The sequence below is a fragment of the Homo sapiens genome, chromosome 20, assembly GCF_000001405.40.
Source record: "Homo sapiens chromosome 20, GRCh38.p14 Primary Assembly".
Lineage (NCBI taxonomy): Eukaryota > Metazoa > Chordata > Mammalia > Primates > Hominidae > Homo > Homo sapiens.
In genome coordinates, this window is record NC_000020.11 from 31,677,865 (window position 1) to 31,692,819 (window position 14,955).

At 46.3% G+C, this 14,955-nt stretch overlaps 1 protein-coding gene and 1 long non-coding RNA gene across 15 annotated transcripts in view; one reads left to right on the forward strand and one right to left on the reverse strand.

The window, feature by feature from the left end:
* Positions 1-14,955, reverse strand: part of BCL2L1 (BCL2 like 1) — a 59,512-nt gene that overhangs the window by 13,413 nt on the left and 31,144 nt on the right. The window lies entirely within an intron of this gene.
* BCL2L1-AS1 (BCL2L1 antisense RNA 1) overlaps positions 1-14,955 on the forward strand; it is a 41,737-nt gene that overhangs the window by 2,757 nt on the left and 24,025 nt on the right. Inside the window, exons 2-4 of one of the 4 annotated variants that reach the window (NR_187575.1) lie at positions 404-492; positions 1,381-1,501; positions 8,342-8,520. This is a non-coding gene — a long non-coding RNA (BCL2L1 antisense RNA 1). The remainder of the gene's footprint in view (positions 1-403; positions 493-1,380; positions 1,502-8,341; positions 8,521-14,955) is intronic. The other 3 variants (NR_187576.1, NR_187574.1, NR_187573.1) reach the window with 3 other exon arrangements.

A 14,955-nucleotide genomic window follows, 5' to 3' on the forward strand; every position in this document is an offset into this window, starting at 1 on the left:
CCTTGCCCAGTGCTGGGTCCAGAGAAGGTGCTGAAGAGTCTGGCTGAGTGTTGGACAGAGAGGAGGGAAGAGAAGAAAGGCCAGTTCCCACTCTCTTCATCCCTTTCCTCACTGCCTGGCAAAACTAGAAAGAGGCCCCAATATAGCAGGTGATTATGCAAGGTGTCCAGTATTCTCCAGACACTTTCTCTCAGGATAAGGAAAGGGGACAGGAAGCTTATGGGAAAGTTCTAGAAAAGGCATCTTTTGCACTGTGCTGAGGCAACAGGCAGGAATGGGGTAGCAATCTCCAAAAACTAGGACTTCTTTCTGAGGTCTTTGACCCCAAGTGCTCCATAGTCCAAAGCAGCTTCTCCTTCCTCCTCTCCACCCAAAGCTATGGCGACTCCCTTGTCTGATGCAGATCAGTGCTGGATGCTGTGGGGAAGAGAGTACTGGGCTGACAGTCAGTGGATGTGGATTTTGTTTCCCAGTTCCATCGCTGATTTGCAGGTGAGTCCTTTCCCCTGCCTGAGACTCTGGGAAAGTATGGGCCTTTCCCCAACTGTCAAATGAAGTGGGAATCATCTCAAAGGGCTCCGTCTAGGGCTACAGCATAAGGAGAATGAAAGTAACTCATGCAGACAGATGAGTGACTACCAGGGTTCTCTCTCTCAGGGGTATCCAAAAGATCCAGTAATTAGTGTGTAAATTGAGAAGCAACATTCTGAAGTAGGAGAACTTGTTGCCACAAAGGAGTCTGATCCTTCTCCACCTCAAAGCCCGCTGGGCATTGCTCTGAACCTGCAGGATTCCAGGGGAAGAGAGCAATAGGCACATCTATGACCAGGCAGACTCCTGGGCAAGGCTAGATCTTTCCACGCTCTAGCTCCTGTGGCCTCGACCTCTTCACCCCAGCACCGCCTCCAACTAGTCCAGACAAGTCCCAAGTATTTTCAGCCACCTTTATCTGATCAGAAATGTTTGGAATTCCACAGCAGAAGGCAACAGCTCTGGAGGATTTGGGGAAGGGAGCAAATCCCTGCAACACCCTTCTCTCCCCACTGTACAGATGAATGCTCACACCCCATGTAACCAAAAACTCAGGGCTGAAGGCACCCACGGTGTTGCATTTCCTTCTATTCTGTGATGTGATGGAACTGGGAAACAAAACCCACATCCACTGACTGTCAGCCTCATACTCTTCTCTGCAGCATCCAACATTGATCTGCACCAGACAAGGGAGTGGGTTCCTTCTTGTTTTCTACCCTATTCATTTCTGCCCCAGTCCATTACCCCTTTAAGGTGCAGAACAGTAAGATGCCTGAGATGGTGAGAAGAGGGCTAGGGTACTTTGCCTGATGTCGAGGGAGGGGGCACCCAGAGGTGTGCTGTTCACAGTCAATACCCAGAGCACCACCACCAGGAGGCCTGGAAGCAACTCACTGTCCCACTTGATGTGGCCTGTGGACCACCAGAAATTTCAGAGCGTCACAGAGATGTGTGGTTCGATCCTGAGCAGGTAAGAAACTGAGGCCCAGAGGAAGTGAAGGGATACCTCCAAGGCTTCATACAGGGACAGAGCACAGCCTGGTCTCAGGCCTCCCTACCCTGGAGTGAGACAGTGTGGCTTCCAACCCTAGTTCTGTGACTACCTGGTTGCAGGACCTGGAGCAAGACACTTTCCCCCTCCAAGCCTGGTGTTCCGGCTGCAAAATGAAAACAGCTGTACTTACTTCACAGGCCTAGCAGCAGAGTTCAATGGTCCATGGTAAGCGTTCTGTAAATGTTAGCTGCTGCTGCTGCTGTTGTTATTATTATCGTTATTAATTGAGACGAAGTCTCACTCTGTCTCTGTCGCCCAGGCTGGAGTGCAGTGGTGTGATCTCTGCTCACTGCAACCTCTGCCTCCTGGGTTCAAGCGATTCTTGTGCCTCAGCCTCCTGAGTAGCTGGGATTATAGGCATGTGCCACCACACTAATTTTTGTATTTTTGCAGGCTAATTTTTGTATTTTTAGTGGAAATGGGGTTTCGCTATGTTGGCCAGGCTGGTCTCGTACTCCTGGCCTCAAGTGATCTGCCTGCCTCAGCCTCCCAAAGTGCTGGGATTATAGGCATGAGCCACTGCACCCAGCCTGTTTTTTTATAGCTAAAAAATCAGTGGCTCCATTTGTGCTTCTCATAGTGTCTCTCTTATTTGTAGCTATAAACAAACAAAAAGTAACAGCTAGTATTTGCTGAACTAATATTTACTGTTTGAATTCTCAAAATCTTGCAAGTAGGTGCTGTTCCCATTTTACCAATGAGGAAACTAAAATTCAGCGAAGTGATGAGACTTTGCCTGAGGCCCCTGGTTACTAGTGAGGGCATTCAACTTCACAGCATGTTAAATTTACCAGTGCAACAGGATACATGAAGAGATTTTACTAAGACCTTCTTTCCTTCACCCTTTCACCTACCCAATATTTACTGAGAATCTGCTATTCTTAGGCCTTCGAAGTCAGAGATGACTTTAAGTACATGGAAGTAGCATTCCCCCCTGGTTCCCTGGGTGCCTTGAGGGGTGAGAAAGGGAAGAGTGTGCTGAGGCTACTCAGTGATGAACCCACTTTCCCCTAAGCCAGATCTGCAAGGACAGTACTTGCAGAGAGAGTTCCTCCCTCTGTCTGATCTTTATCTTGGAAACAAAAGTGATGCCACGTAGCTTTGGTGAAGCTATTAGATGAGTTTTCTAAGATGGGACATGACCTATTTGTAAGCCAGGCTGACCTATGGAGTTGTAGGAAGGCCCAGACAGGCTGCCTTCCCTAGCTTTGGACACTCAGTCATTCAACAAATCTTCATTAAGTGCCCACTAAGAGTCAGGCACTGTACTAAGCGCTGGGGATAAAGCAGTGACTAAATAGAATGAAAATTCGTACCTGTATGAGTTTATAATCAAATGGGAAGAGACAGGCAATAAACATGTCAGACGGTGATGCATTAAGAAAGAATAAATGTGAGAAAGGGGGTACAGAGAAACATGGAAGAAGGTAAGATTAGAATCCATGGTCAGGGACAACTTCTTAAGGAGGTGAATTTGATCAGAGACCTGAATGAAATGAGGAAACAGGCACTGCAAAGATCTGAGAAAAGGCTGTGGGAACAAGTGCAAAGGCCCAGAGGCAGGAACACGCTTGAGGTGCTCCAGGAACAGGAAAAATGCCAGTGTGGCTGAAGTCCAGTGAATGTGAGGAGACTGGTGGTGATGAGATCTGGAGGTAGCCAAGGGCCCGATTGTGTGGGGCCTGGTAGGCCATTTAAAGACTTGGGCTTGTCCTGGGAAAGCACTGTAGGGTTTTGAGCAGGGGAAGGACATGACCTGACCTTGGTGTTAAATAGCGTCCGTCTGGCTGCTGGGTGGAGATCTCCAGGGGTCTGGTGAGATAATCAGGAAAATATGACAGTGGCTTAGCCACAATGGTGCCAGGGAAGTTGGTGAGAAGCAGTCAGTTTCAGAATTTATTTTTTAAAGTAAGGCTGGGCCAGGTGTAGCGGCTCATGTCTACAATCCCAGCACTTGGGAGGCCGAGGTGAGAGGACTGCTTGAGTCCAAAAGTTTCAGACCAGTCTGGGCAACATGGGAAAATCCTATTTTTACAAAAAAATGACACAAAGTAGCCAGGCGTGATGGCATGTTCCAGCTATTCCGGAGGCTGAGGTGGGAGGACTGCTGGAGCCCAGGAGGCTGAGGCTGCAGTGAGCCATGACTGCGCCACTGCACTTCAGCCTGGAAGACACAGCAAGATACTGTTCTTAATCAATCAATCAATCAATAAAAGTAGAGCTGAAAGGATTTGCTGATGAATTAGATGTGGACTGTGGGAGTTGCCTGCCCTCTTGGCCCTCTGTTTCCCATCTATAAAAGGCGAGAGAAGAGGCCCTTGGGGATTTCTTTCCAGTTTGATAACTATGAGGACCTATATGAAGAAAGAGATAAAGCAACTATTTCTGCTGCTCTCATGGAAGCAAAATCATTTGCTCACCAGGCCTCAAAGTGTGGATGGCAATAAGATGAGGAAGGCAGAGATGGACAGAGACAGTGCAGCAAAGGGAGGGCAGGGCTCTGCCTAGGCTGTGGCTATTCCACTTTCAGCACACACATTACCGCCAGGCATATGCCAGGCCACAGAGTAGACAGGCTCCAGTGGGAGCGGGGGTCAGGGTAGCTTGCTTTATATTAGGAGAGAAGAAGCATCAGAGCTGCCGTTGTCCAGGGCCTACTAGGCAGAAGGTGCTCAGTGACTGACTGACTGACTGAGTGAATGAATGAATAAATAAATAAGGTAATGCCAGAAGGCCAGTATATGTGCAAGAACTTCCCAAGTCCTTCCAAATTAACAGGAGGTAGGCCTGGTCCAAAGGATTGCTCTCCTGTCACTTTATCTGCTTATTCTAGGCTGAGCTTCAAGTTCTTGTTCTCTGTGAATGGGAGACTATGTGGTCTGAATCACTGAAGCAGGATTTTAGAGCTGGAAGGCAGCACAGACACATTTGGTCCACTCTATCCACAATTTCAGCCATCACTGCTTTGACCTTATATGTGATTCTGTTATTATTTACTTAACATTTTTCTTTTCAAGACAGGGTCTCACTCTGTTGCCCAGGCTAGAGTGCAATCGTGTGATCAAGGCTCACTGAGGCCTCAACCTCCCAGGCTCAAGCAATCCTCCTGCCTCAGCCTCCCGACTAGGTGGGACTACAGGTGTGCATCACCATGCCTGGCTAATTTTTTTTTCTTTTTCTTTTTTTGTAGAGATAAGGTCTCACTATGTTGCCCAGTCTGGTCCTGAACTACTGAGCTCAAGCTATTCTCTCGCCTTGGCCCCCCAAAGTGCTGGGATTATAGCTGTGAGCCACTGTGCCTGGCCTACTTAACATTATTCTATCAATTTACTTACTTTTTATAAATTTAAATACATGTACTGAAAATTCTCAATTTATTCCCTAAACCTGTTCTTTCTGCATCTTTCTCATCCTTAAATCCCCTCTAACACTCATCTGTCAATATATCCTGATGAATCTGTATTCCAAATTTATCTAGAGTCCCACCATTTCCCACCACCTCCACTGCTATTATTTGGTCCAAGCCAGTATCATTTCTTGCCTGTATTGTCCTAACAGCCTCCTTACTGGTCTCCCAGCTTCTTATCGACTCCATGGTTCCTTCACCACATGGCAGCCAGAGGGGTCAGCAAAGTCAGTTTCCTGTCTGCTCAAAACCCTCCACTGCCTTCCCATCTCACCCAGAGGAAGAACCAAAATGTCTCACCACTGCTCACACAAACTTTCCTTTCCAATCACTTCTCCTCTGCTTACTCTGTTCTAGCCACACTGATCTCCCGTGCTCTTCCTCAAACATGCCAGGCACACCATTCCCACCCTTTGGCCTCTGCACTTGTTCCTTATGTCTGGAATGTTTTTTCCATAGACTGTTACATGGTTTCCTCCCTCAGACAGATCATGCAGATCTCTGCTCATATGCCTGCTCCTCAGAGGCCTTCCTTAATTATCCTTTATTAAAAAGGCAAACACATACCAAAAGCTGCCTACCACCGGCCACCTAATCACTCTCTGTCCTCTTAGAATGTAAACTTCATGATGGCCCGGCGCAGTGGCTCACGCCTGTAATCCCAGCACTCTGGGAGAACGAGGCAGGTGGATCACCTGAGATCAGGAGTTCAAGACCAGCCTGGCCAACACAGTGAAACCCCGTCTCTACTAAAAATACAAAAATTAGCTGGGTGTGGTGGCGGGCACCTGTAATCCCAGCTACTCAAGAGGCTGAGGCAAAAGAATCGCTTGAACCCGGGAGTCAGAGGTTGCAGTGAGCCGAGGCTGCGCCACTGCACTCCAGCCTGGGCAACAAGAGTGAAACTCCATCTCAAAAAAAAAAAAAAAAAAAAAAAAAAAAAAAAAAAAAAGAATGTGAACTTCATGAAGGCAGGTATCCCCAGTAGCTAGAATAGTGGTTGACAGATAGTAGACACTTAGCAAATATTTGCTAAATAAATAAATGCAATGAAAAGGCAACTTATTATTCTTCCTATAAAGAGTATCATTTGCCCCAGATGGAAATCAACATAAAATACACTGACTATTAAAACAGAAAATGTCCATCTGCATATCACCTCTAAGTTACCTTGAAGATCCTGGTCTAACACCTTTACAGAGGAGATATTTGAGACCCAGGGCAGAGTCAGCCAGCTGACCGGAAGCCAGTCCAGAATGGCCCACAGGTACCCCCCAACATGCCTTGGAACCACAGCCCTGTCCCCCAGGGTGTGGACAAAGAGACTGAATCTCAGGAAAGGTATAGCTAGGTTGGACCAAAAGAACCTATCTGAGGGGCCAGAAAAGCCCTCCCTAGCAAGGCATAGAGCTAGCAGTTTTCCTGAAGAGAACAAAGGCCAAAGAGGCATGAGTGTGCCAGGCTGGGAGAGCCTCATGGGGCTGCACCGTGGGTGACAGGCACGTACAAACCTGTAAGTGAGGTCCACAGAGACCAGAGAGCTGAGAGCAGAAATGAAAACAGGATAGGTCCCAAAGGGTGGCAGCTTCAATCCGTAAACACCAGACAGGCGTGGGGTTCAGGTGTAGGTCTGGGGACCCAGCTGAGCCCAGGGGAAGGATGGGACCTCCCCAGTCTCCTCCGTCAGTGATGATTACTCTAAGGTGAGCTGAGCAGAAGCACCACCAATCCAGCTATAGTAACACCAGACATCAGACATTAAGGAGGGAAGAGCCAGATCTACCCTTCTCATCTCCACATTCCGGATGGTCTGTCTCCTCCCAAACCCACTCCACCCATATGAGCCCTCGGGGATCCAAACCCTATTAAGAAGGGACCATCCATTTCCCATCTTTGAGGGGCTTAGTGAACACGGCTACAGGTGCAGGGGTGAAGCTAGAGATGTTGTAACTGCCAAGCCAGCAATGCCTGACCTACATCTCCACGGTTGGTTGCATACAAAGAAAAATACCAGGGATTTCCGTTGGTGTTCACCACATGCAGCTGCCAAGGGAAGGCTGGGCCTTCTGAAGGCCTGTTGTGAATAGGGCAAGACAAGTGATAAGCTTGCTGGGATAGGCGAGAAGGCTGGCCTCTAAATTTACTGGCTCTGGGGACCTCCCTAGATTTTAGAGACTCTATATAATTTTTACCTGCTTTCTACCAAGGTCCTCCATTAAAGCTTTTTCTTCTTCTAGTATATTTTTATTAAGAATTGAGAAAGACAGCCAGGCGTGGTGGCTCACGCCTGTAATCCCAGCACTTTGGGAAGCCGAGGTGGGTGGATCACGAAGTCAGGAGATCAAGACCATCCTGGCTAACACGGTGAAACCCCGTCTACTAAAAATACAAAAAATTAGCCAGGCGTGGTGGCGGGTGTCTGTAGTCCCACCTACTCGGGAGGCTTAGGCAGGAGAATGGCGTGAACCCAGGAGGCGGAGCTTGCAGTGAGCTGAGATCGTGCCACTGCACTCCAGCCTGAGTGACAGAGCAAGACTCCATCTCAAAAAAAAAAAAAGAATTGAGAAAGAGAGAAAAAGAAGATTCTATTTGGAAAAATGTTCCCCAAACTAAACAGCTGTTCTTATTGTAAACCACTGGTATTTTCAGTGAGGCTCTAGTTCCGCACAGAAAAAAGGCAATTTGAAAGTTCCACATGGTCAGGTTCAAGAAACGTGAGCTTACTCCTGCTTTGTGGTGGCTCTATTTGGCTATGGTCCTGTCAATTAAGCACCACGGGCCTCACTTTTCTCATCTGAAAAGTGTGGAGGATGGATCAGATGATCTCTAAGGCTTTCTCTCCAGTTCCAAAGCACTAAGATCCTATCTCCGGGCCCTTTTTTTTTCCCCTCAAGGGAGCAGTGGAGTGTAAGGGAAAAGTAAGCTTTCTTGGCAGACAAAAGACTGAGTTCTAATCTCAGCAATGCCATTTATTAACTTACTGTGTAACAATGGCAACCCACTTCCCCTCTGGGGGCACCTCATTTTCTTCATATATAAACCAAAGACCCAAAAGTGCAGTGAACAGGTACTCTAGGAGGCCTTTGGCATTATTATTATGCCTCCCTTACATTGTTCACCCATTAGCATATCCTGGCCTCCCAAAGAACCTGTTCTTTACTTGACATTGCTCTGACTTGCAAACCCCTGTCCTTGAAAATTAACACGTTCCAAGAGCTATGCCATAGGAGCCCAAATAGCCTCTGGGTCCCCAACCCCCTTCTGATGTCAATAAAAAGATCACTGCTATTTATTCAATGTTTTGTATATGCCAGGCCCTCATGTGTGTTTAAAATTCTTATTTTATGAAGACATGGATGGTCACAAAGGTGAATTCACTTGCTCAAGATCCAACACACACAAAATGGAGGTGGTTCAAACCCAGGTGTGTCTGACTGCAGAGCCTGTGTTCTTCCCAGTAGAGATGTGGATGCAGCACAAATGGTAGAAAGGACCTGAGACTTAGTCAGAAGACCTCAGTTCACCCAAGGTAAGAGGAAAACCCTATTTACCTCCTCCTAGCATCGTCAGAGGTTCAATGAGATAATGTGTGAACACAAGGAAGCACTAGACAAACTTTAGTTAATGATCCTATGCTATTATTTTATGACTCCAGCCTGGGTTTCACCACATTTGCAAAGAGAGTGGAAGTAGCAAGCTGTAATATCTTAGAGATGTTACAGCCCCACTTCTCTGTTTTGTGTCCTACTCAGGCTTTCTTTTGTTCACATCTGGTCCATCCTTCTAGATTCCTGTTACTTGGACCCTCCAGGCCACCCAGCATGATACCCACAGTGTTCTCCCTGAAAGGCCATGGAGCGGAGGGAGTAAGGGGTAAATGGAAACCACAAGTCTTCTCTAAAACAGTGTGAAGTAGATAATCCAGACTTACCTTCCAGAAAGGGCCTCAAGCAATAAGAAAAAATAAAAAAAGGCAGAGAGAGCCAAGGGAAGCCCATGGAGACCATAGTTAAGTGAGGGCTTTTGAGTCCAATATATTGGACTTGTATTCTGTCTTTATTAGCATTCAACCTTAGGACTATAATTTAACTTACTTTACACTCAGTTTTCTAATCTGGACAATGAGGACAATAACATGTTTCCCAAGAAGGATTATTGTGAAGATTAAAAATACTACACTGGCCGAGTCTGGTGGCTCACACCTGTAATCCCAGAACTTTGGGAGGTCCAGGAGGGAGGATCATATGAAGTCAGGAGTTTGAGACCAACCTGGTCAAGACAACAAGACCTCCATCTCTACAAAAACAAAACAAAACAAAACAAACTACACTGTACCTTACAGCATCTTGCACATGGCAGGCACTCAATAAATAGCAGCAACTATACTGTCATTAGTAAATTAAGCACAGATGGGTCATCCCTAAAGGACCCTCTGATGGCCAATAGATGCACACTGAGAACCAGTGACTTGAGGCTCTCTATAGCAAGTGAAGCTCTGAACGGAGAAAATTCTCGGTCGGGCGCGGTGGCTCACGCCTGTAATCCCAGCACTTTGGGAGGCGTCGGCCTCCCAAAGGAAGGAGGATAACGCAGGAGGATAACGAGGTCAGGAGATCGAGACCATTCTGGCAAACACGGTGAAACCCCTTCTCTACTAAAAATACAAAAAAAAATAGCCGGGTGTGGTGGCACGCGCCTGTAATCCCAGCTACTCAGGAGGCTGAGGCAGGAGAATCGCTTGAACCCGGGAGTCGGAGGTTGCAGTGAGCCAAGATTGCCACTCCACTCCTCCAGCTTGGCGACAGAAAGAGACTCTGTCTCAAAAAAAAAAAAAAAAAAAAGAAAATTCTCAAACTCTTTCCCCGGGAGGGAGGCAGGCAGCTCAGTGTAGACCAGAGACCTCTGATCAGACATATGTGGGTTCCTCATAGCTTCCAGGCTGGCTGTTTTGTGGCCAGTTACCCTCTCTGAGCCTGATTCCTTATCTGTATTAGACAATAAGACCATATGTTCTTCCTCCTGAGAGGCAGGTAAAGGTGTACTGTAAGAGCACAGGCATCAGAGGATTGAAACCTGGGCTTAATCCTAGCTCTGCCACTTAATAGCTGGACCATGACCATGGCACCCTATTTAACCCTTCTGAGCTTCACTTATCTCATCTAAAAGCCTTCCTCTTTGAGTAGTTATGAGGATTATCAGATAATGTGCTGGTGCCTGGCAAATAGTAACAATTTCACTTGATACATGAAAGTGTTTATCTTATATCCAGGGCCAGGTACAGGAAGGCACTCAAGAAATGTGCTGATGGCCGGCGCGGTGGCTCACACCTGTAAATCCCAGCAATTTGATAGGCTGAGGTGGGTGGATCACCTGAAGTCTGGAGTTTGAGACCAGCCTGGCGAACATAGCAAAACCCTGTCTCTACTAAAAATACAAAAATTAGCCCAGCAAGGTGGTGGGCACCTGTAGTCCCAGCTACTTGGGAGGCTGAGGCAGAAGAACTGCTTAAACCCAGGAGGTGGAGGTTGCAGTGAGCCAAGATCGTGCCACTGCATTCCAGCCTGGGTGACAGAGCAAGACTCTGTCTCCAAAAAAAAAAAAAAAAGAAAGAAAAGAAAAAGAAAAGAAAAGAAAAGAAAGAAAAAGAAAAAGAAATGTGCTGAACCAAACTCTCCACTTGGGTGGAAGGGTGTTAAGAAAAAAGATTCTCCTGTAAACTGGTACCCACTGCTGTGGGCCCAGGCTAACTAACCCTATTAAAATCCCAAGTACACATACCCTTGGCCCCAGTAATTCCACTTTTAGGGATTCATCCCCCCCAGATATACTGTATTCATATATGGGCCAAATGACAAATATACAGGGCTATTCATTGAGTGTCACTATTATAACTGCAAAAGACTGGAAAAAAATGTGTCTACCAATGGGAACTGGTTAAAGTATAGAATAGTGCCCTGTGTAGAATACTATGCAGCATTAAAAAGACTGAGAAAGCTTTTATGTACTGACACAGAAAGATCTTAAGAGATACAACTTTGATATTTGCATCCTATGACAACAAAATAACACCACTACTGTGTAATCAACCACACTAGGGTTGCTACCATCTCTGACCCTTTGTCTTTGGATGCTGTTAAGCTAAAAGCGGACCAGGATCCATGATGAGGTTCCTCTATCCTCTGGGTTAAGTCTGTCCAGGTAAAATAATAGGGAAAGAAGAATACCATTAAAATAAAAATTGGCTGGACACAGTGGCTCATGCCTGTAATCTCAGCACTTTGGGAAGCCGAGGCAGGAGGACTGCTTGAGGCCAGGAGTTCAGGACTAGCCTGGGCAACGTGGCAAGACCCTGTCTCTATAATTAAAGAAGAAAAGGAAAGGAAGAAAGGGGAAGGGAAAGGGAGGGAAGGGGAGGGGGAGGGCAGGGGAGGGGAGGGAAGGAAGAAAGACAGCTGGGTGCAGTGGCTTATGCCTGTAATCCTACTAACACTTCAGGAGGCTGAGGCGGGTGGATTGCTTGAGACCAGGAGTTCGAAACCAGCCTGGGAGACATAGTGAGATCCCGTCTCTACAAAAAAAAGAAAAAAAAAAAGAAAGAAAGAAAATAAAAATTATCCCATGGTGGTCCTGGAAGAAACAAGGGAAGGTAGGAAACTTAATCCTAGAGGCAGTAGTAGTCAGGCTCTAGGAGAAGGGCTGGCAACCGCCTGAAAATCCCCTCCCCAGTCTTTCCTTACCACTCCCTCTCCTGTTTTCTTTAAAATCAGTCTCTTCCATGCCTGCTAAGACCACTTTATCAGGAACTCCTGAAAGTAGATGGAGACTAAATTGGCTCTGAAGAATACAAATGGCTAACAAAACGTTAAGAAAAGATGTTCTGCCAGGCGCGGTGGCGCACGCCTGTAATCCCAGCACTTTGGGAGGCTGAGGCGGGCGGATCACTTGAGGTTGGGAGTTCAAGACCACCCTGACCAACATGGAGAAATCCTGTCTCTGCTAAAAATACAAAAAATTAGCTGGGTGTGGTGGCACATGCCTGTAATCCCAGCTGCTCGGGAGGCTGAGGCAGGAGAATTGCTTGAACCCAGGAGGCGGAGGTTGCGGTGAGCTGGAGATCGCGCTATTGCACTCCAGCCTGGGCAACAAGAGCGAAACTCTGTCTCAAAAAAGAAAAAAAGAAAAGATGTGCTACCTCACAAGTAGCCCTGGAAATAGTCCTTGGATATTTTTAACTTTTTTTTTCCCCCTGTGACAGGGTCTCACTCTCATCCAGGCTGGAGTGCAGTGGCATAATCATGACTCAGTGCAGCTTCAACCTCCCGGACTGAAGAGATTCTCCTATTTTAGCTTCCCAAGTAGCTAGGAAGCTAGGACTACAGGTGTGTACCACTGCAAATGACTAATTTTTTTTTTTTGAGAGACACAGGGTCTCACTATGTTGTCCAGGCTGGTCTCCAACTCCTGGGCTCAAGCCATCCTTCCACCTCAGCCTCCCAAACTGCTGGGATTACAGGTGTGAGTCACTGCACCTGGCCAATTTTAAACTTATTCTTATGATAATATTTAATCATGTACAAAAGTAGACAGAATAAAACGAACCCATCATTCAACTTCAACAAGTACCAACTTGGTGCCAATCTGATTTCATCTGTTCCCCAACCACTATCTCTCACTCCAGTAGTATTTTGAAGCAAATCCCACACACAGGTCAGTATGTATTTTTTTTTTTTTTGCAGACAGAGTCTCACTCTGTTGCCCAGGCTGGAATGCAATGGCATGATCTCAGCTCACTGCAACCTCCGTCTCCTGGGTTCAAGCAATTCTCATGTCTCAGCTTCCCAAGGAGCTGGGATTACAGGCGTGCGCCATGATGCCTGGCTGTTTTGATAAACTCTCTCCCACATGCTGGCTTTGAGAATCAATTGAAAAGTTAAAAAAGAAAAAAGGAAAAAAAGCCCCAACTTTTTCCCAAAGAGGGTACCTTTGTTCATTATGAGATATTAATACAGTAGGCCAGGCACGGTGGCTCAGGCCTGTAATCCCAGCACTTTGGGAGGCCGAGGTGGGTGGCTCACCTGAGGTCAGGCATTTGAGACCAGCCTGGCCAACATGGTGAAACCCCGTCTCTACTAAAAATATAAAAAAAATTAGCCAGGCATGGTGACATATGCCTGTAATCCCAGCTAACTTGGGAGGCTGAGGCAGGAGAATCGCTTGAACCCGGGAGGCAGAGGTTGCAGTGAGCCGAGATCATGCCATTGCACTCCAGCCTGGGCAACAGGGCGAGACTCTGTCTCAAAAAAAAAAAAAAAAAAAAAAAAAAAAAAAAAAAAGAAATATTAATACAGTATATACAATAAGCTCTAGGTATAACTTAAGTCATAAATAATTCAAATTTACAGCCTTTAACACCCTATGGAGGCCAGGCATGGAGGCTCACTTGAGGTCAGGAGTTGGAGACCAGCCTGGCCAACATGTTGAAACTCCGTCTCTACTAAAAATACAAAAATTAGCTGGGTGTGGTAGTGCATGCCTGTAATTCCAGCTTCTTGAAAGGCTGAGGCAGGAGAATCATTTGAACCTGGGAGGCGGAGGTTGCAATGAGCCAAGACCGTGCCACTGTACTCCAGCCTGGGCGACAGAGCGAGACTCTATCTCAAAATAAAAAATAAAATAAAATAAAATAAAATAAAATAAAATAAAATAAAATAAACAGGCTGGGTGTGGTGGCGCCCGGCGAACAAATTAATCCCAGCTACTCAAGAGGCTGAGGCAGAAGAACTGAAAGACTATATTTGTAACATGCATAGACAAAGTATTAGTATTCAAAATACATTTTAAAAGCCTACAAACCCATAAGAAAAAGTCAAATCAAAAGGAAATGGAGCAAGGACTTGAACATTTTACAAAGAGGAAACATGAATGGCCAACAGATGTAAGAAAAGATTCACAGCCCCACTTGTAATCTGAGAAATGCAAATTAAAACCGCAAGATACCATCTCACACCCACCAGCTCCATAAAAATTTAAGTCTGACCATATCAAGTATTAACAAAGAGGTAAAGTAATGGAAAACCCATATGCTGTTGGTGGCTGTGTAAATTCACACAAACACAGGAAAACAATCTGCCATTACCTTCTGATCAAGCAATTCCACTTCTGTGTAAACCCTACAACAATGATTCTCAGTGAGGTCCCAGGACCAAGAGTGGCAGCATCAGCTGAGAAGTTGTTAGAAGTGCAAATTCTGAGGGCCCCAACCCTGACATACACAATCAAACACTTTGGGGGTGGAGCCCAGCAATCTGAGGTTTAACAAACCTTCCAGGTGATTCTGATGGGCAGCTAAAGTTTGGGAACCACTGCCTGGGAGAAACTCTTGAACATGTGCATGTGCAGGAGACACAAACAGTTTTCATAACAGCATTGTCTGAAACAGCAAAAACAAGGGGACAACCCAAATAACCACTGACAGCAGAATGGATACACAGCTTGAGACATGATCATATAAATGGATACGAAAATGAACAAATTATGCTATGCAAGTAACATGGATGGATCTCAACCTTGAATGAAAAAAGGAAACTGCAGATGATAAACACAGCATAATACCTAAATGAAGTTTAAAAGAATGCACAGGCTGGGCGCAGTGGCTCACGCCTGTAATCCCAGCACTTTGGGAGGCTGAGGCAGGCAGATCACGAGGTCAGGAGTTTGAGACCAGCCTGGCCAATGTGGTGAAACCCCATCTCTACTAATAATACAAAACTTAGGGCTGGGCGCCGTGGCTCACAGCTGTAATCTCAGCACTTTGGGAGGCCGAGGCTGGTGGATCACGAGGTCAGGAGTTCAAGACCAGCCTGGCCAAGATGGTGAAACCCCATCTCTACTAAAACTACAAAAATTAGCCAGGCGCAGTGGCAGGTGCCTGTAATCCCATCTACTAGGGAGTCTGAGGCAAGAG